This window comes from Homo sapiens, chromosome 12 (assembly GCF_000001405.40).
Source record: "Homo sapiens chromosome 12, GRCh38.p14 Primary Assembly".
NCBI lineage: Eukaryota > Metazoa > Chordata > Mammalia > Primates > Hominidae > Homo > Homo sapiens.
Genome location: NC_000012.12, coordinates 39,751,192 through 39,773,270, shown reverse-complemented (window position 1 = coordinate 39,773,270; position 22,079 = coordinate 39,751,192). Strand labels below are relative to the sequence as shown.

The window sequence follows — 22,079 nt, the reverse complement described above, 5'->3', positions numbered from 1 at the left end:
ATGCAATTCTGCTGCTTTGTCCACTGCAGTGCCCTCTGAGCAGCTTCCCATTATTGCAGTCATTTTCAGGTTTTGCTCTAGGATGTGGTGAAAAGGTGCCACATCCAAGAGCATGACTTTTTCTAATCCCAGCCCACACACTGATGTCAAAGTATTTTTGTTCCTTTTCGGGAGCATTATGTTCTTCTACCAGCAGTTGCCAGGAAAGCATGAGGATATTTTGCAATAATGTTTGAAATCTGCATTTTTATTTTTTAGTTGGTATTTCTAGTGTTTATATTTTGAAGGTCAGGTGTGATGTCACATTCTCAGTCATTAGCTATCTACGTATTGCTGAGTATGTAACTCTGCCAAGTTAGTGCCTGCAGTGCCTTCCCAAAATCAGCATGAGGATGATGAGGAGCTACTTGGCCTTTTTTTTGCACATGTAAACGTGCATAGCCAGATGGCAAAAAGCTTCATCAGGGCAAGCACAGAGTCCACTCTAAAGTATCCTACTTCATTGCCACAGCAGGAGATCACCCTAGGAACTGTGATAATAACGAAAAGAGTAAATAGAAAATTGTTCAGTGAATCTTAGTTATTTCATTATTTGTAAGTATTCCTCCTTACAGGAGCCTGCCTACCTGCCTGCCTTTCTTTTTTCTTTCTTCTTCTCTTTTTTCTTTCCTTTCCTATTTTCTTAAATCTTCATGACTCAAAAGACTATTTCATTGCTGGGGATTATTGGTCAAGGGACATCTAATGCTGTTTTCTACTCACAATTAAACAAATGCAAATGTAAAAGCTTCATCATTCAAGGAACATTTATCTCTACATAGGGTATTATGATGGACAATAGGTTGAGATTTAAAAAAAAAATAGCACGGTGATTATTCTTTTGGCAAGCCCTTATAAATTGCTTTCTATGTGCCAAGCAGTTATCACCTTGTTTAATCTTTGTAACAACCCTATATGGACTCTTATTTTACAAGAAAATTGAGACACAGAGAGGTTAAGTAACTTGGCCAAAGTTACAAAGCTGGTAAGGGAGAGAACTGAGATACAAACTCATGCAGTCTGACATTAGACCCTGTGCTCTTGACCCTTGTGCCATGCTGTACTCCCTGGGATGAAATCTCAGTACCGTAGAAGAAGGAGTATATTAATATATGACCATACAGAGCACTATATGATAATGACATAAATGAGGAAAGTGAAAAGGAGTTGAGAGGAGGAGAGAATATCTCGGACAGGTGAATGGGTAGCATCCACACAGGCCTTGGGTGATGAGGTAGGAATTGATGGTAGATACTGACAGTAGATATCAAGAGTAAGAGTTTGCCTTCAGTTACAGGAAACGTCATGAGTAGGAGATACTGGGTCTAGACTGTAGGTTCAGAAAATAAGTAATTTAGTTTAGTTGCATAAAAGGATTGTGTACAGGAGTACAAGATAAGGTAGGCTGCAGCCACATTTTGCAGGCCATTTTGTAGACTGCTGGAATAAGGAGGATGGAGGTTTTTGAGCAGTGAGGTGGTCAGGGCGCTTAACTTGGTGGCATATGAGTTTGAAGAAAGGAATGATAGGAGCAGGAAAATCAGGAAACTGTATTCATTTACTACTGCAACACACATTAATAATATAGCACTTCCTGTGGGTCAGGAATGCAGGCATAGCTTAGGTGTGTCCTCTGCTTAGGGCCTCACAAGCCTACAATCAATGCACAGACTGGAGCTATGGTTTCCTCTAAGGCTCAGCTGGAGAAGGATTCATTTTTGTTAGCAGAATTCAGTAATTTGTGGTTTTGTGCTGAGGACTTCAGTTTCTTGCTTGCTGTTGGACAGAGGCTGCCCTCAGTTCCTTCCACAAATCTCCCAGCATAGGCATCCTACAGCATGGCGACTTGCTTCTCCAAAACCAGCAAGGGAATGAGAGACTTCAGCTCAACAGCACTGGAATCTTACTTACTTAATCACATATGTCCTGTCACTTTTGCCATATTCTGTTGGTCGGAAGCAAATCCAAGGTCACTCCCACACTCCAGAAAAAGGAACTACACAAGGCATGAAAATCAGAAAATAGGAACCATCAGGGTTACTCTAGAGTCTCTCTCCCGCAGAGGCAGAGGCAGGTGATGGGACACACACTCGGAGTCTAAATTAGGATGGTGTTAATGCAAATAGAAAAGTCAGATTCAAGAAATTATGTCTAGGAAATATGGTTTCTTGCCTATATCATGTGAAATTCTTTGTGTACGTTCTCTAACATAAGCATCAAAATAGCCTTTTGAGGTAGGTACCAGGAAAATCCTTATTTCACAGATGATGACACAGCTTTGAGATATTACACCTAGAGGCCACATATATCCTAACTTTACCTGGGTGTCCCAGCCTAGATCTGAACCTAGGATGTCAATACCAAAGCTCCTAGTCTTGGCCACTTTTCTTTACTTGGACTTAAAAGTATAAAGGACCTAAGAGAAGTGGATAAGAGGAAAATGAAAATAACTGCAAGATTTTAAACCATTCCAATTTAGGGTAAGGTGGTGTTAACTAAAATAGAAATGTCATGAGGGGCACTAGTAAAGTAATACTTATGCTATGCATATACCACATGCCAGGCAGTATGCTAAGCATTGAGTGTGCAGATGCTCTATGCTTATCCAGATGGGAATATTTAATGTTCCCAACAGCCCATGATACAGTTCTTTCCCCGATCTCACAGATCAGGAAACAGGACCATGCCAGTGCCCGCTAAACTCAAGGTTCTACAAATGCACTGGTTGGTATTTTGTTCATAACTGTTATTGCTAATGTCTGATGCATAAAAAGTGCTCATTATATAAGCTTTTGAATGAATATGGCTATTAAGTGGTAGAGTCACGATTTGAACTCAGAGCAGCCCCATGCTGCCTTCTGGAGAGGTCATTTCGTTGTAGTCATATTGCATTTGAGGCCATGGCAGGATCTAGATGTTCATAGCAACTCTGCTATTTTAGGTACTTAGGTACCTAAATTCCATCAGTGGAACTTGGAAGAAAGATCAAGGCCAGAATAAACTATTGAGGAGCATCCACATGGAAATTATAAAGTCCTAAAATTAGATGAGATGATTATGAGAGAGGGTATAGGTCCCAAAATAGAACCTTAGAGGACACCTATATTTAGAGGTTGAGAAGAGGAAGAGGCAATTTAAAAAGCAATGAATACATATAGGTCAGAGAGCTAAAATGGAGATACAGATATAAAAGCAAAGAGGGAAGAGAAGGAAGGAGAGTTGTCAGCAATGTCAAGCACCACAGAGTAATCAAAGAGCATCAAGATTAAGACAAGAAACCTGAATTTGTATGTTAGGAGCTAATTGATGACTTTTGTTTGAACACATCCAGGAAAAAGACCACATAAAAGTTAGCCAGCATCTGGGAGGGTGGGAGAGTTGGGCTGTGAAAGAAGGATTGTGTAGTCAGGTAGAGCTCGTGAGTATAAACTTCTGGTATTTCAGGAGAGCTAGTTGTGGTAATATGAGAGGAGTTGAACATTTGAGTAAGAGAGATCTTGTGTATTGTAGACAGAAGGGAAGGCTCAAGTAGGATGAAACTAAATAGGGCAGGAAAAGAAGAGATATTGATGGAACGTGACCCCAGAGGAGGCAGGAGAATGAGATGCAAGAACACTGATAAGAAGGGCAGTCCTCAGAAAGGGTGACAGACTTGTACCACCGGAGGGAGGAAGGAAGCCTACACCCTACAATGTTTTTTAAAAAACTTTCTTTTCTCAAATATTGAGAGAAAAATATAGAAAAGTAGAAGCTGATAGAGAAAAATTGATGTTCAAAGTAATGATCTTCAATTCTTTTAAAAGAATTCCAGTTGTTAAAAGATCTGTTCTTCAGATTCAAATGTATCAAGTCCTACAAAGCATCTCCAAATTCCTGGTTTTATTTTATTTTTCTCAACTGAAATTGATAAATCTTCCAAAAAAAGGAGGTAAGTTCGTCACATAGGAAACAGAAGGAAAGATTTCAGGATTACAAGATAGTAAGAAATATTTTAATTAATTGAGGCAATAGTTGACAAAAGTTTATGGAATGTCTACTCTTAGATAAGCAGATAATTCAGTAGAGAAGACAATAAAGGATAAAATAAGCATCATTAGGGAACCAACTGAGATAAAATGGCATGAACTTTTAATACAGCCCAACAGCATGGTTTCATAACACTGCTCAGTTTCTGAGAAGTGGTTGTTGAAAGAAGTTAATAAGCCACACCGGGTTGGGAACTCAAATGGTGAAAAATGGCAGACAAAAATAGAGGAAGAATGGATTCTAGAGGCTAGTGAAGACAGTATATACTTCATTTTATTGTGTTTGCCATCATTGCACTTCACAGACATTGCATTTTGTTTTACAAACCGAAGGTTTCTGGCAGCCCTGCATCAAGCCAGTCTATTGTCACCATATTTCCAATAGTATGTGCTCATTTAGTGTCTTTATGTCACATTTTGGTAATTCTCACATTATTTCAGACTTTTTCATTATCATATCTGCTATGATGATCAGTGATCTTTAATGTTACTATTGTAATTGTTGTCGGGCATCACAAACTGCACCCGTATAAGACGTCAAACTTAATTATAAATGTTGTGTGTGTTCTGACCACTCCACCAACCAGCTGTTTCCTTCTTTGTCTCCCTCTCCTGGAGCCTCTCTATTCCCTAAGACACTACAGTTAATAACTCTACAATGGCCTCTAAATGTTCAAGTGATAGGAATAGTAGCACGACTCTCACTTTAAATCAAAAGCTAGAAATAATTGAGCTTAATGAGGAAGGCATATTGAAAGCTGAGATAGGCTGAAAGCTAGGCCTCTTGCACCAAATAGCCAAATTGTGACTACAAAAGAAAATTCTTAAAGGATATTAAAAGTGCCACTCCAGTGAACACACAAATGATAAGAAAGTGAAACAGCCTTATTGCCGATATGAAGAAAGTTTGAGTGGTCTGGATAGACGATCAAACCAGCCACAACATTCCCTTAAGCACAAGCCTAATCCAGAATAAGTCTCTAATTCCATTTAATTCTATGAAGGCTGAGAGAGGTGAGGAAGCTGTAGAAGAAAAGTTTGAGGCTAGCAGAGGTTGGTTCATGAGGTTTAAGGAAAGAAGCTGTTTTCACTTCACACCTTGTTGCAAGGTGAGGCAGCAAGTGCTGATGGAGAAGCTGCGTCAAGTTATCCAGAACATCTACCTAAGATAACTAATAAAGGTGATGTATTAGTCTGGTCTCACACTGCTATAAATAACTGCCTGAGACTGGGTAGTTTATAAAGGAAAGAGATTTAATTGACTCACAGTTCTGCAGGGCTGGGGAAGCCTCAGAAAACTTACAATCATGGAGGAAGGGGAAGCAAACATGTCCTCTTCACATGGCGACAGGAAGGAGAAGTGCCAAGTAAAAAGGGGAAAAGCCCATTATAAAACCTTCAGATCTCATGAGAACTCACTCACAATCATGAGAACAGCATGAGGGTAACCACCCCCGTGATTCAATTACCTCCCACTGGGTTTCTCCCACAACGTGGAGACTATGGGAACTACAATTCAAAATGAGATTTGGGTGAAGACACAGCTAAACCATATCAGGTGGCTATACTAAACAACAGATTTTTCAATGTAGATGAAACTGCCTTCTGTTGGAAGAAGATACCATCCAGGACTCTCATAGCTAGAGAGGAGAAGTCAATGTCTAGCTTCAAAGGACAGGCTGGGTCTCTTGTTAGGAGATAATGCAGCTGGTGACTTTTAAGTTGAAGCCAATGCTCATTTGCCGCTCCAAAAATCCTAGAGCCCTTAAGAAGGGCTAAATCTATTCAGCCTGTGCTCTAAAACGAAACAAAAAAACCTGGACGACAGCACTTATATTTACAGCATAGTTTGGAGAATATTTTAAGCCACTATGGAGACCTACTGCTCAGGAAAAGAAAAAAAAGATTCCTTTCAAAATATTACTGCTGATTGACAATGACACTGGTCACTCAAGGGCTCTGATGGAGATGTACAAGATGAATGTTGTTTTCATACCTGCTAACACAGCATCCATTCTGCAGCCCATGGATCAAGGAGTCACTTCAACTTTCAAGTCTTATTATTTAAAAAATGCATTTCATAAGGCCATAGCTGCCATAGATAGTGATTTCTCAGATGGATCTGGGCCAAGTAAAGTGAAAATCTTCTGGAAAGGATTCACTATTCTGGATGCTATTAAAAACATTCGTGATTCATGGGAGGAGGTCAAAATACCAAATGAACAGTTTGGAAGTTTGCAAGAAGTTGTTCCAACCTTTATGGATGACTTTAAAGGGCTGAAGACTTTAGGGGAGAAAGTAACTTCAGATATAGTGGAAAACAGCAAGAGAACTATTGTAGAAGCGAAGCCTAAAGATGTGACTGAATTGCTGCAATCTCATGATAAAACTTGAACGGATAAGGAGTTGTTTCTTAAGGAGGAACAAAGAAAGTAGTTTCTGAGATGGAATCTACTCCTGGTGAAAGTGCTATGAACATTGTTGAAATGATATCAAAGGATTTACAGTATCACACGAACTTAGTTGACAAAGCAGTAGCAGAGTTTGAGAGGATTGACTCCAATTTTGAAAGAAGTTATCTGGGTAAAATGCATGCTACAGAGAAATATTTAGTGAAGGGAAAAGTCAGTCAATTTTGCAAACTTCCCAGTTGTCTTATTTTGAGAAATTGCCACAGCCACCCCAGCCTTCAGCAACTACTACCCTAATCAGTCAGCAGCCCTCAACATTGAGGCAAGACCCTCCACCAAAAAGATGATGACTTGTGAAAGGTGCAGATGATCGTTAGCATTTTTTATCAAAATATTTTAAAATTAAGGTTTGTACATTTTTAGACAATGTTATTGAACACTTAATAGACTGCACTTTCATGGGAACATAACTTTTATATGTAGTGGGAAACCAAAAAATCCGTGTGACCCACTTTATTGCAGTGGTCTGGAACTGACCTCGCAATATCTCCAAGCTATGCCTGTATTGGCGTGGTCTAAGCTGAGCAGTGAGGTAAACGAATACTGAAAGGATAATCCAAAGGCAGATCTGGGTGTAGCACAGATGATCAGAAATGAGGAGATAAACAAAGTGGTGGTTGTGATCAGAAAAGGAAGGCTCAAAGTCTGAAGTAAAATAGTTCCAAATCAAGGAAACTATAAAGTGCTGTCTCTGTAGTGTTGGAGATTAAATAAGGAACTATGAGGCCAATGCATTATACGGAGCACAGAAAACCACACACTGCGTGTTTTCACATATAATTGGGAGCTGAACAATGAGAACACATGGACACAGAGAAGGAAACAATGCACACTAGGGCCTGTGGGGGCTGGGAGGAGGGAGAGCATCAGGATAAATAGCTAATGCACATGGGGCTTAATACCTAGGTGATGGGTTGATAGGCACAGCAAACCACTACAGCACGCATTTACCTATGTAACAAACCTGCACATCCTGTGCATGTGTCCTGGAACTTAAATAAAATAATTTTTTTAAATGAGGCCAATGAATTAAAAATAAATGAATGTGGCAGGGGATGAGAGGAGGTAGACTGAGCAGGCACCCAAATCATCAAGACAGGTGGAATGTTATGATGAGTTCATAAATATGGTAACAATAGGGCTTGGATGACAAGGTTCAAAGATAGAGGTTGAAGGAGACAGAACAATACTCTAAATTGACAATAGGGGATAGGAATGTTTTTGAGTCTGGTAATATCTTCAGGGGCAATTAAGGTAAAGAACTGGAAGTTCAACTTCAGAATGGATCTAAACTGTAGGACCCTTTGCTTTACTATGGATTAAGAAGGCAAGGTCATCAGGGAGTGACTGGTAGAGAAGCAAGGACACGGAGCAGAAAGGGAGAGGGCTATTTGGAATCAGATAGAATCATTTGTTTCCCTCATCCACCCCATCACCCTTTACAGGTTACTCTTCTAATCCTTAAAATAGTCTACAAAGTATTATCCCCATTTTATCAGATGAAAAGTATCTGGCTCTGAAATTTGAATCTTGTCATGATTGCAAATGCCATGGTCTTTTCACTGCCACATACTGACTCTCAGTGGTACTGAAGTGTTACTGCAGCTTCCAGGGACTAATTAGAAATCATGTCTAATTTATGTGAAATGGTTATAAAACACGGTGTCTTTGTTTTGCTCTTGAATTATACTTGGCTGTAAAATTGCTATACAAGCTCGCATATCTAATACTGTATATTTAGTTCTTATTTTTTAAGAAAAACATTTTGGACTCTTAAGACATTAAGGAATTTCCAAATACATAAATATGATCATATTGAATTTCTGCAACTGTAGTCAAAAACATTAAGTTAATACTTATATTGCATTATTTTTCAGGTGTGAAAATGAAACCAAGTTCAAAACAGAAGATATATTTTGGGCTTACAATTTCTGCCCTACTCCATACTCCTGGACTGCACTTCTGGGCCTTATTTTATATCTTGTCTTCTTTGCACCTGGTAAACAAAGACTTTGTTATACTGTTGCATTAATTGAATTGCCTCTTTTTGGAGTAGATAAACTATAATTTTTCAAATTTCTTACATGCTATTTTACTAAAGTTTTTAATGTTTTATTTCTCAGGAATGGGACCAATGCCTTGGACTGTGAATTCTGAAATATATCCCCTTTGGGCAAGAAGTACAGGAAATGCATGTTCATCTGGAATAAACTGGATTTTCAATGTCCTGGTTTCACTAACATTTTTACACACAGCAGAGTATCTTACATACTATGGTAAGATAATATTTTTTCTAACATAGTTTTGTTTTTATTTTTATCACTATTTTTAGATACACTATAATATCATTTGTGATTGAGACTATGTGGTTATATTTTGCTGTTATAAGTATCTCCATGTGGCTTTCTTGTCCTCCAAAGGCATCGGAAATGTGTCTGGGAAAGAAGAGAGGGATTCTCCTATCCTAAACAGCACTGCTTCTTGTTCCACAGTGCTTAGGGCTGTCACCCAACCCCTCTCCCAACTCAGACATCTCCCAGCTATCTCCCCAGGTGGAAGTCTTTACACCATAGCTTTTAGTTTCACAGAAACAAACAAAAAAAAAAAACAGAAAATGGTAAAAAGATGTAGGCAGGGAGTCTAGGGCCAATGAGATGTCCTGTGACAGGCATAGCGTCCAGTCCAAGAGCAGAATCTGCGTAGGGCTGAAAGTAGCTTCCTCAAATGCTTAACAGTATGCTGTGCTGTGGCCATACCTTCCACTGTATCACCTGTGCTGCTCAGGCCAGTGCTTGTGCATTTCAGTGTCCTCTGAGACCAGTACTTACCACTTGCAAAAGTGTAAACATGACGGAAGTATTCAAATGCAAATGTATGGAGGCCATAATTCAAAATGAAAAACAATAGTGCTTAGTGGCTGAGTCAGGAAAAGACTTTGCTTTTTAGAAAAAAGATTTCTGCATTGTTCACATGACTTTATAGGTTGCAATAGGATTATTCATGATGAAGTATGAGGTTTCATTCTAATATCCTCATAAGTCCATGTGGTAGAGACGGAATGCCTGCTGCTTAGACCATTCTCCCAGAAGAGCTTCTCTCATCTCCCCGCAATCTCTTTACTCTGTGCTCTGGCCACTTATCATTTCTCTTTGCAAGAACAGGTTTGTCTGCCCTTAGCTCTCTCTAGTAGACTATAAATCCCTGGAGGGCCAGGACTGTGCCTTGTTCATTGTTACATTCCCAGTTCCTGCCAAGGCATCCTGTTCACCTGATAAGCACCAAAAAGTGTTTGTCAAATGAATAAATACATGGATAAATTTTGCAGATGAATGGTGAATATGATGAAACATTATAAAAATCTATTCCCCATCTCTTCTGACCATGCTGAACTGGTATTTGCTTTTAGTTAATGGTATTTATCTAATGCTTTTATTATCTTCATAAAACTCTTCTCTCTCCTAATCACCACTTAAGACATTTGAAATATTTATTTTCTTGGAAAGGAAATGCACTGGCATTTTAAACTGGATATATATTTAGTATATTCAGCTGGATCCCATTTGGCAATTAAAATTTTTCGATAAATTCATAAACTTATCTTCATGACATAATAAATACGAGCACAATAAATATTTCCTCGTATTTACTGATTCTAGAGAACACTTAAATATTTGAAGACCTAAGTATATGCTCGCATCCTGAGAAAGCATTTTTCATAGAAAGGCATAGACCAAATAATAAAAGTTTACATGATTATACTTTTGACAGCAAAGCTCCTCTTTCTTGAATTTATCCTGCCAGAAAACCAGAGAAAAATGAGGCAACAGTAATGAAATTTAAATAGGGCATAAGCAGAATTCTTTCAAAAATAAACAGTTAAAAGTGTGTTGCTTTGCATTAAGCTTCTCTCATGTCAGAGCACTGGTCCATTTGGTCTACTACTCTCTAGTAGTAGAAAAATAGTTCATTCAGGCTAGTTTTTCTCCCTTTTTGTGTCTCATTTTAATCCACATGTTACTGGTTTATGTAAGCTATGCATTTATATTCCTCATTTAATAAATATACATCCTAATCGTGTATTCCTCTGGAAATAGTTATGTCTTCTTTGTTGCCTCCTTTTTTATTGTTTCATAAGATCTCAAAATTTGATTCCTTCCTCAACCATATTGCTTACACAGGTCTGCCTTGTGCCCCCATTCAATAATGTTTATTACTAAAAAGTATCATTGCTATATCACCAATATGCCATTTTATATACAGCACATGTGGCTAAAGAGATCCCTTGGGGGGCATTATGTCAAAGCTTCTCTCTTGAGGTAGTCAATTTGTGTAATTCAATTAAATAGTTGTTTTAATCTGGAACTTAATGTAGGGCTCTAATAAGATTTAAATCCTTAGAAGAATAAAGGTGAGGAATATCTAACTGTTCAATAGTCCTGATGGACTCGTTACAGACATTTTTTCTTGCCATTTTCACTCCAAGGGAGGAATAAATGAGAAACTGAGATAGTGACTGATTTGACCATGACATGGACCAGGTCACAGCCTCCCAGGTCTGCCCACACTCCTCCACGACTTAGCCACAGGTCTAACCATTGGAACCCACACTGAGTAGGCAGTTTTGGCATTTGCGTGCTTTGGATTCCTCAGATTTTGTAAAACGGTCTTGTATTTTAATAGCAATTCCTTGATATTATTCAGCTTTGGGAATCCAGGTCACAAGAAAGAATCTGTAATCAACTTCAGGAATCTTCCTAACCCAACAAATGTTTTTTAACTATAGGAGTGAGTTTAGCGCTGACAGATTTGATTTGTTACTTCTAATTATGCTACTGTTCCCAAATTGTGAAAGATAATGATGAAGATAAAATATACTATTATATTTAAAAGTCAAACTGGGTTTGCTGTTACAGATTTTGTAGTTTAGAAGCCTAGTTTAATCTAAAATGTTTTACCATCTGTACTTATTTTTTCTTTATCTTCATCATAATTACTATCCCGTCTTTGTCCCTCCCTGCTAAAGATTCCATTTCTCTTCCTACCTCCACAGTCTTGCATATCTGTACTCAGAACACAGGACTTCATCTCCTTTCATTTTTTTTTTGTCAAAATTCCCCCATTCTCCAAGAGCTAGCTTATCAGTATCACCCTTTTTGTAAAAACATCCCAATTAATTAGTCACACTAATCTTATTCTGTATCTTAATAGCAACTCTTCCTTTCCTGGTCATTTAGTAGAATTTAACAATCTGGGCATCACTTTTTTGAGCAACTGATATTCAGAATTCTAATGGGCATGATAACATACATTATTTCTATTCTTTACAGTTGGGCAAAGCTAGAATTATTTTCCCCATTACACAGATCAAGTCTCTCTCTCAACCATCTCTTAACTATATCTCCTATACATGCCCCTGATTTTGGCTGTAAGATTTACAGAATCATAAACTGCCAACACTTAAGTAGGAGCTGAGAAGCCCCCTTATTTTACTTAATGAGGCAACAGAGGCCCAGAGAAGAGGTTAAATGACTATCCAGAAGTCACATGGCCAACACTTAAACTCAGTTCTTCCCACTCCCAGTCTGATATCCTTTCTCCAGCCAATTGTCACATTAGTTTTTCATCTTACTTCCCCCATCTCATACACATGATGGTCTGGACTGAAAGCCTAAAATTAGACAGGGGCTCCATTTTACTTTGTTGTTTTCCACCATCAAAAGTACAAGTATAGTTTCTTATATTCAAATTGGCAATTCAATTATGTGTGTGTGTGTGTGTGTGTTTGGTAGAGACAGGTTTCACCATGTTGGCCAGGCTGGTCGGAATTCAATTATTTTAAAAGTCCATCTTGGAAATGTGTAGAGAATATAAACAAGTCATACATTCATATATCTCATCCATCTAGGCTTGCTATCATGACCCTTAGAAAACCAAACTAGCTAATATTTATGTGTTTCTGGCTGTTCTGCATTGACATGCATAATCTTACAGCAAAACAAAATTCTCTGACTTCATGGAGTTTACATTCTAGTGGAGGGAAATGAAAAACAAATTAAGAAAGGAACTTCTTCTGACCTCAAAGTGCCTCTAGTGTAATAGACAAGGCAAGCATACGTGTGTGTACATAATTATAATATTTCTTGGTTGTTATTTTAGGGGTCTCAACAACATGCTGTGATAGCACATGGAAGAGAATAATTCCCTCTAGTCAGGGAAGGGAGGAAAGGCTTCAAAGCCAAACTTACATCTGAGCCTGTTCTATTATTCTTGAGTTTCTAAACTTGAGTTTAGAAAGATACATTACATCATATTCTCAGAGTTGGAACAATTGGAGTAAACCAGGTTCATAGTAATTTTTTGGTCCATTTCATACTGTGATTATGCATGACTGACCAGAAAAAAAAAGTCAAAATCAAGTAATCTTTCCAACTTAAGCCTCTCTCTATATATTCATATTCATGTATCTATTATATTCCGTTGCAGGAGCTTTCTTCCTCTATGCTGGATTTGCTGCTGTGGGACTCCTTTTCATCTATGGCTGTCTTCCTGAGACCAAAGGCAAAAAATTAGAGGAAATTGAATCACTCTTTGACAACAGGCTATGTACATGTGGCACTTCAGATTCTGATGAAGGGAGATATATTGAATATATTCGGGTAAAGGGAAGTAACTATCATCTTTCTGACAATGATGCTTCTGATGTGGAATAATTTTCAGCTGCTCATATATTTAGTTATTTAAACAAACTGGGGGGAGAAGAACAGCAATTGGTGACTTCACTGCCCTGCTTCTAATCTGGTTCTTTCCACAGCCTAGTTTTGATTGACTTCATATTCTAGAATACTTGATTAGGAGGAAGATACAACCATGATGACTTTTTTTTTCCACAAGGAACAATATTTTAAAAAATATTTACAGAGATTTTAATCTAATAATTCTTAAGCAAATGTGTGTAATGCCTTCCTGAAATAGTCTAAAATGAATATTGTACCCAGTGACTTCAGTGGTATCCTTTTTTCCTAAGACCATTTATAATTATTAGTGGCAACAGAGTCAGTGCTAATCTAGCCAAATTACATATGTATAATATATTTATAAAGGATTCTGGGAGATGGTCCAAGGGTGTTCTGTGTCAAAAGATGGCCTATTGGCCCTCAGTTTTCCTACAGAGTAGTGGCTTATCTCTGATCAGCTGTTACAAACTAAATTCCATGTAAGCTTTCATCAACAAATTCCAAAGTGCCTCCTACAAGGGCACAGCTGTCCGTATCTCCTTTGGATTCCATATTTTTGTTTCTCTCCAATTCAGATATTGGGAGTTCTTCAGATACTGACTCTGCACACTATCTTTTGAACATTATGAAAATATAATCTGTCGGGTTGTTTTCATACTTCTTTTTTTTGCATCAGTGATAAGGCATACATTTGCGCAGATGAGCTAGGAAGTTTTGAGAAGTACCTTTTATGTTCAGAAAGTAACAGATTAAAGGTTTTTATGGGTTCCAAATTGGTTAGTCACTTAGGTATGCAATTATAAATGCAAAATAGTGCCAGATCTTTAACTGTATATCAGGGTCAGTTTTTGTTCATGCCCAAATCACTACACCTTCCTCATTGGCCTTGGAGTCCTACTATTTCGTGCCTTCATTTGTGTTACATACATAGCTGCAAGCAAACCATTTTTCCCCTTTCTTTTATTCAAACAATAATTTTTGAAACAAAAAAGAGGAAGGAAATCAGTGGCAGAAATAATCCTGCTGTTATTGGTGTTTGTTTAATAAAAATAATGGGACTTTTTTCTTAACTTTTTATTAGCTCTTCCTAAGGGAAATGTCACATATTATTATTTAATTGTACTTGTCTTTTTTTACTTTAAGAGCATAAACTCGTTTTTATTTTGCACACTTTTCTCATTTTCCTGAGAATTTACCAGAAAAAAAAAAGATACATAGATTTGTCTCTGTGTTTTTCTTATTCTTGGCTTAGTTTTTCCTTCTTGTGTAAAAATTGAGATTGCCTATTGGAACAGATAATTGGTTCTAATATAGCACGTCTATAAGAAATGCAGGCTTAATTATATTTCCACAATGTCTTTCCAAGGTATTCATTGGTTTTTATGGTAATTCATCACTGAACTCTTAATTTTTGCTTTTCTATTAAGAACTATATAGTATGTACAAAATTACTTGATCACAAAATTACTTGCTAGTTCCAGGAAAAATATGAATGAATCTTCTGTGGCCAGTTAGGAATACATCAGTTTGATGCATTTTTAAATGGCTCTAAACATCTAATAAGGTACTGTATTTGGAGAGAAAAGGTGGCTATCTCCATATTCAAAATATTTCTTCCAGTCTCCAAGATACTCTATTCTTTTAATGTCTGGCTTGTTCCTATCACAGTTATCAAGCTGAGAATACAGCTGAGGAAGTTCATTCTCTAAGTCACCAGAGGTATAATATGTGCTTAAACTGTCAATTTAGTGCCCTAAAAATCCATTAACCAAAAACAAAAACGTTTTCTCCCTTTGGTCATTTCATATAATAAAAAAAATTAATATTTTATAGAGGTTTTTTCCTTGAATTAGGTGCTTTAACAATTGATTTCCAAGGGAATATTAGTATTGATTTTTTCCTCAGAAAAGCAGATATGATTTAATAGGGAAAATTATTATTCTATTGATATTTCTTATCTCATAAGAAATTTCTTATCTAATATTTTACACAGGTAAATTGAAGTGAAAAATAAGCTACTATATGGTACAATCAAAATATAATAAGGAGAAAAAGTAGACCAATAAAGTGCTCTCTAAAAATTTATTTTTTGGACTTAATCAAAATAATTGCCTCAATCCTTCTCTTTATTGTATATGTAGCCTTAACTAACTATATACTTATAAACTCAGCTGGGCTGATGCACAGTAACTTTATTAAAGGAGAAACTGGACTCTTGTTATTTCCTAAAGCAGAACATGGCCTGTTCTCCCTGATATAAGAAAACAATGTTTTCAACTTTATAACCATAAATGCACATAATAACAGGGAAAATTAGCCACAGTTCTCCTCCCCTACTCCCCTGAGCCCCTACTTTAAAGGACTATTTGTTATTTATATAGTGTTAAAGATAATATTCCATATCTTTGAAGTATAAGACAGAGAGGCACAGTATAAGAATTATTTATAACTTTTTAGAAACAATTACTTGAAAAGGAACCTTATACAATTAGGGTATTATTTTTAGATTTGGTGAACATTTATAGTATATTAAAAATTAAATGTTTAAATTTTGCAGGTTTTTTTATATTAGGCACCTTTTAAGTTCCCAGCATATTTGGCTACCACTATCAACTTGGAAACATTCCATTTGTAGTATCATCAAATATATATTTTGTAGGACAATTTATATATGATGTGATTTGACCTACCATATTAAAGCAGACACAGATTACGTATCATGCTTTCAACCAAAATTACAGACTTCCTTTGAAACATGCTGCAGATTTGATAGAGGTATATTATGTCTTAGGAAAATACAATGAAGAAGGTCCAAATCCCTATTGAGGCTGGATGTCTGATCTGCACTAGACTTAAGAGGATATATCATTTCATCTGCATATAAACACATAGGGCTGAATGTGATGTCAAAAGGGTTTGCCGTTAATAATTTTCTTCAATGTAAACATTCCTAATAATTTTGATTGTTGCTCCTTAGTCAATCATTTCCCAAAACATGATTATTTTTAATATATGTAAAATATTTAAATAATAAATAATAAAAGGTAATGTGTCCATTTTAAATTTTGTTCCCAGCCATACACAGTAGTTCCCTGATACAAAATGCTATGAGAATACCGACTATTTTTTCATAATTTAATTTTACCACTGAACCTGATTTTAGTACATAAGAGTCTAAATATTAAGTTATTCACTCTAAAAGGGGAAATCAGTAAAAGCAAGGAATTTATGAAATTTTTGCTGTAATTTCAGTATCTGTTATACAGGGGAAGAATGATCAGGAAAAATATAAGCTGACAACTTACCCTTTTGCTTTTTAACAACAAAATAATATTGAAAATATATTAGAATAACTCACAGATCCAGAAGTTGGTGGAAATGGAAGAATGTTTTAGAAAATACCATCCATATGTTTATCTAAGAAAGTCTCAGAATTTAGTGACACTAATACAGTTCATAAATACTGTAATACAGTGGAGAGAGTTGGAATGTTATTTTGGTTTTATTTCATCAGCACAATTATTAAAAACAACAAAATTAATGAGACGTTTTGTTATAATCAGATTTTTTTTTACCATATTGCAAGTTATAAAATGTCAACTTATACTAAGTACCTAACAACTGACTTTTATTCACTTGTTGTGACAAGTTTTTAATTACCAAATTAAGACCTTTTCAGTATCTATGAGTAAAAGAAATAGATGATTATATCAGACCAGGAGCAGAGAATTTATAATATGTGCTTTATAGCAAAATGTATTAAATTGTGGTTAAAATTTATAGCTCATATGTAGCTGCTGCCAATAAGAAGGCTCAGAATTGTTCTGTGGATTAATTTTTACATCCTGTTTTCTGTCACTTTTACCAATCTTCTTGGCCTCATGTACAATAATGTAAAGCCAATTTGATGAAATGGTTCAGGTTGTAGCAGTCTATAAATTGTCGGTACATTCAGCTCTTCTAGGTGAGCAATACTGCTGCTATTTTTCTAGAAATAGCAATCATTTAAAAATGCCAAATAGCTAACTGCTACCAACTCTTTCTTGTATCTTGTCTCTTTAGAGAAGGAAATTTTTGTGTGCCAGTAATCATCAAAGAGGTGTTTTATAAGAGTGTTGATGTTCAGAAGTTCATGAAAGTATTTTATCCGTATAATTTGCTAGTGAGCTAAAACAATATAATTTATGTAAATCTTTATATGTACAAAATATATAGTCTGTTGTACTTGAGTAATTTGGTCTATGGAATTTTAAATGCCTTCATTTAGCAGTAATATTCACATTTTTATTTTAGACAGTTAAGTTCATGTGTTTGATTTTGTCATGTCAGCATAAATGAGAAAAAGAAGTGGATCATGCAGCTAATGAGTAACCAACATTTTGTAAAGTTTTAAAGTTTTAGCAAACAACATTATTCCATCTCATTTAAAGGTTAAAAAAGAAGAGACAACTCTAGCCAAAGTAGAAATTTATATTCTACACGTCCAAACTGTCTCCTAGCAGCTTTTGGACTATATATCACTTGATGTTAAAGTATCTTTTATTTGTAATAAATATTCAAATTTCTATTTAGAAGCTCTAATGTATACCTAGATTAAATCAAATCACAGTTTTATGCTTTTAAAATATATGTATTTCAAACTGTATATTTTAATTTCTGAGTGCATGTTATATAGTATTTAATACTTCAGATGTCTTGGCAAATTCAATATAAGTATTTATTCCCACAAGCGATATATGGGATATCTCTTAAAAATTATGAATATGTACCATTTCCTTCAAAGTCATCCTAGCCTATGCTGTATCAAAAGTATTGTATATTTTATGGAGATTTAGTGATATACATGTAAATGTTTTTTAAGTTATTTTATTGAAGTTCAATCTTTACATAAAATTAAAATCTTTTTTTAAAAAAAGTGTCAGTGCCAGAACTGTAAATGAAAATAATCAAATAAAAGTTAAAATAATTCATTACTCATTAACTTCCCTTGCACTTATTTATTTTTTCTAGTTATCTTCCTTGGATGTAGGTTAGATGATAGTTAAAGCATCTAGAAAGACAATCTACCTCTATATATTAATGCAGTCCTACTCATTTTAATGATATTTTATTTCTTTTGATTATGGATATGATAAATCATCTTTTAAAAATATTTTATAATACCTAAAAATTGTTCTAAAGAATTATTCTAAATACTGAATATAAAACTGTGAAATGTGGTGCTTAGGAACCCTTGAAGTAATAATTATAGTTATTGTCAGAACCAGATGTTGACATGAACCATTAAGTTGAGTTGTCAAAAATTATCTTTGGTGGTGGTTCTGTAAGTGAAAATGAACAATCGTGCTGGAAGGCCAGTTGACAGTTCTTTTTGGGACTCCGTTGCTCTCCCTTGCCATTCTGCCTCAATCATAGCTATAATTAGCAAATATACACTTGTTTGATATTGGCAGTTGCTAGACACGTGTCCATAATTAGTTGTGTGTCTTCCTGAGCCTGACTTAGAAATAGCCCAAGGAGATCTTCTGAAGACTCTAGACCTACTGTCATTCAAAGGCTTACAGTTGAGTTACATCTAACTAAGGTTCTTAACGTCAGCAGGTAAGGCAAAAATCCAAGTCAAATGACCCTTGAAAATCCCACGAATTACACATAAATTGTCCACTCACCTGAATAACGGACACCTGAATAGTGCAGAACATGTCAGTATCAGTGGGCAGAAAAATCCTCATTTAATTGTCCAATCCTGTGGAATAAACATTGTCATCCTTTTCCAGGTACTAAAACTTAAGTTCAAAACATTTTTGTCACTTGCCCAAGATCACACTAGAAAGTCATAGAAAACTCTTCTTTGCAGTGACTACACCAAAAGTCTTCCCCTCTATGTCCTCCTTTGGAACATCTTTTCAGACCCAGGCAGATAGATTAAAAACAGAAAGAAATTGTGGAATCCTTGCATTGTAAAAGAGTGCATATGGATTACAGGAACAAATCCTGAAAAATCTTCATTTAGAGACTCTTGTCAAATGTGAGGCAATATAATGCATTGTCTAAGAGGTCAGACTGAATTCAAATCATTTAGATTTGAATCCCAGCTTTTCAACTTACTGCCTAGTAACCTAAATTACTGAACCACTCATTGCCTCACTTTCATTGTCTATAAAATGAGATGCTACTACCGTCTACCTCACTTGTGTGTAGTGAAGGTTATCAATGAATCATGGAAAGCAAGTAGAGCAGTAGCATATAGTAAGGACTGGATAACTGTTAGCTTTTGTTTTCATCATCCATATCCTATCCCTGATGCTACTAAGGTCACAATGTTCAAAGCACAGGCAATTTGCTTATAAAATCCTTTCCTGAGAACAACTACTAGGAACAGGAGCACATTGGCTTCTTTGACATATGTCCTCCCAGCTCAGCTGACCAGAATGATTTGAGCTGATCTGGCTGACTAGCCTGATGTCCTTCTTCCTTTCTCCATCTCTTTTCCATATGTGTCCTCCTGAATGGCAGTTGATGAAAAGAACAACCTTCCCATATTCTCCAGATTAACAGGATTTAATACACAATTTCTGTGATCTCACAGTCAAGAAATAAAAATAAGTTTAGAAAATCAGTAATCTCTCATTTAAAGTCTTTTCAATGTTTTAAAAAGTAATTTTTGAAACCTGATTCAAACAAAAACCGTGACATTAACCCTCTCTAATTGGCTGTATTGAAATTAAGCTCATCTTACTATAGATGCTTTGAATGCAGTATAAAACATTGAGGCTACTTCTTTTAACCTTTAATGTTTTGTGTACTTTTCCACTGCACCTCCAAAAACTAATTTCAGATCATCAGCATGCAGTCTAGTCTTTAACAAAAAAGAAAATTTTGTTATGCTTTACTTTTAGCAAATAGATACTAAACTCACAAAACATACGTTAGAGCAGCAGTTCTCCAAGCATGGTCCTCAGACTAGTAGCATTGGCATCACCTGAGTGTGTTACAAATGCAAATCTGCGGGCCTCGCCACCTGCTGAATCAGATTCTCTGAGGATACAGCTCAGGAAGCCATTTTCAACAACTCTGCAGGTGATTTTTCAGCACACAATAGTTTAGAAACCACTGCATAGAAGTTGGGAGTCATGACTTTAAAAAGGAATCTGACATGTTCTTTTAAATGGTGAGCTCATCTAGTGAATAATAAAATGATTGACTGGATTTACATGCAAGTTACTCAGGGATTTGTAAAACTGTCTTATTTCCACCTCAGGGAACTTGCACACGATGTTGTCTCTGCCTGGTATGCTTGTTGCCCTATTCTTTGTTTATCCAGTTCTTTTCTTGTGATTTTCAGCTCAAAATCCTGTCTTCTCAGAGCCTGCTTTGACTCTGTGTAATGCAATCATGCCTTTCACCCGAATACATTACCAAGTCACTCTTTCATTTTCTTCATGGTATCATTATTTGAAGACTATTACTTTTCTTATCCCTTGCCTGTTTCTCCCACCAGAACAGCGGTCCTCAAACTTTTTGGCACAAGGGACCGGTTTCATGGAAGACAATTTTTTCCATAGACCTAGGAGGTTGGGGATTGATGGGGGAATGGTGTTGGGATGAAACTGTTCCGCCCCAGATCACCAGATATTCAATTCTCATAAGGACTGCACAACCTAGATCCCTTGCATGCACAGTTCACAATAGGGTTTGTGCTCCCATAAGAGTCCACTGATCTGACAAGAGGCAGAGTTCAGCTGGTAATGCTCACTTGCCCATCGCTCACCTCCTGCTGTGTGGCTTGGTTCCTAATAGGCCACAAACCAATATGCGTCCATGGCGTGGGCACTGAGGATTCCACGCTAGAAGATACACTGCATGAAAGCATGGAACTTATTCACTACTGCCTCTCTAGCACCTCCTACAGTGCCTGGCATATAGTATGTGATCAACAAATTTCTTTTTTTTATACTTTAAGTTCTAGGATACATGTGCACAATGTGCAGGTTTCTTACATATGTATACATGTGCCATGCTGGTGTGCTGCACCCATTAACTCATCATTTACGTTAGGTATATCTCCTAATGCTTTCCCTCCCCCTTCTCCCCATCCCACAACAGGCCCTGGTGTGTGATGTTCCCCTTCCTGTGTCCAAGTGTTCTCATTGTTCAATTCCCACCTATGAGTGAGAACATGCGGTGTTTGGTTTTTTGTCCTTGTGATAGTTTGCTGAGAATGATGGTTTCCAGCTTCATCCATGTCCCTACAAAGGACATGAACTCATCCTTTTTTATGGCTGCATAGTATTCCATGATGTATACGTGCCACATTTTCTTAATCCAGTCTATCATTGATGGACATTTGGGTTGGTTTCAAGTCTTTGCTATTGTGAATAGTGCCGCAATAAACATACATGTCCATGTGTCTTTATAGCAACATGATTTATAATTCTTTGGGTATATACCCAATAATGGAATGGCTGTGTCAAATGGTATTTCTAGTTCTAGATCCTTGAGGAATCGCCACACTGTCTTCCACAATGGTTGAACTAGTTTACAGTCCCACCAACAGTGTAAAAGTGTTCCTATTTCTCCACATCCTCTCCAGCACCTGTTGTTTCCTGACTTCTTACTAATTGCCATTCTAACTGGTGTGTGAGATGGTATCTCATTGTGGTTTTGATTTGCATTTCTCTGATGGCCAGTGATGATGAGCATTTTTTCATGTGTCTGCTGGCTGCATAAATGTCTTCTTTTGAGAAGTGTCTGTTCATATCCTTTTTGATGGAGTTGTTTTTTCCTTGTAAATTTGTTGGAGTTCATTG

The 22,079-nt window shown here is 36.5% G+C and overlaps 2 protein-coding genes across 7 annotated transcripts in view; one reads left to right on the top strand and one right to left on the bottom strand.

The window, feature by feature from the left end:
* SLC2A13 (solute carrier family 2 member 13) overlaps positions 1-18,246 on the top strand; it is a 351,057-nt gene extending 332,811 nt beyond the window's left edge. For 5 of the 6 annotated variants that reach the window (XM_011537847.3, NM_052885.4, XM_017018765.2 and 2 more), the window contains 3 exons: positions 8,413-8,534; positions 8,659-8,811; positions 13,019-18,246. In XM_011537847.3, coding sequence (XP_011536149.1) covers positions 8,413-8,534; positions 8,659-8,811; positions 13,019-13,245 — 502 coding nt within the window. In that variant the 3' untranslated portion in view covers positions 13,246-18,246. Of the gene's footprint in view, positions 1-8,412; positions 8,535-8,658; positions 8,812-13,018 lie in introns of those variants that run through there. The other variant, XM_047428235.1, reaches the window with a different exon arrangement.
* Positions 1-22,079, bottom strand: part of REDIC1 (regulator of DNA class I crossover intermediates 1) — a 282,118-nt gene that overhangs the window by 135,030 nt on the left and 125,009 nt on the right. Inside the window, exons 15-16 of the transcript NR_135051.2 lie at positions 18,939-19,015; positions 8,462-8,531 (exon numbers count right to left, since the gene is read on the bottom strand). The gene's annotated coding sequence lies outside the window, so the exon portion shown is untranslated. The remainder of the gene's footprint in view (positions 1-8,461; positions 8,532-18,938; positions 19,016-22,079) is intronic.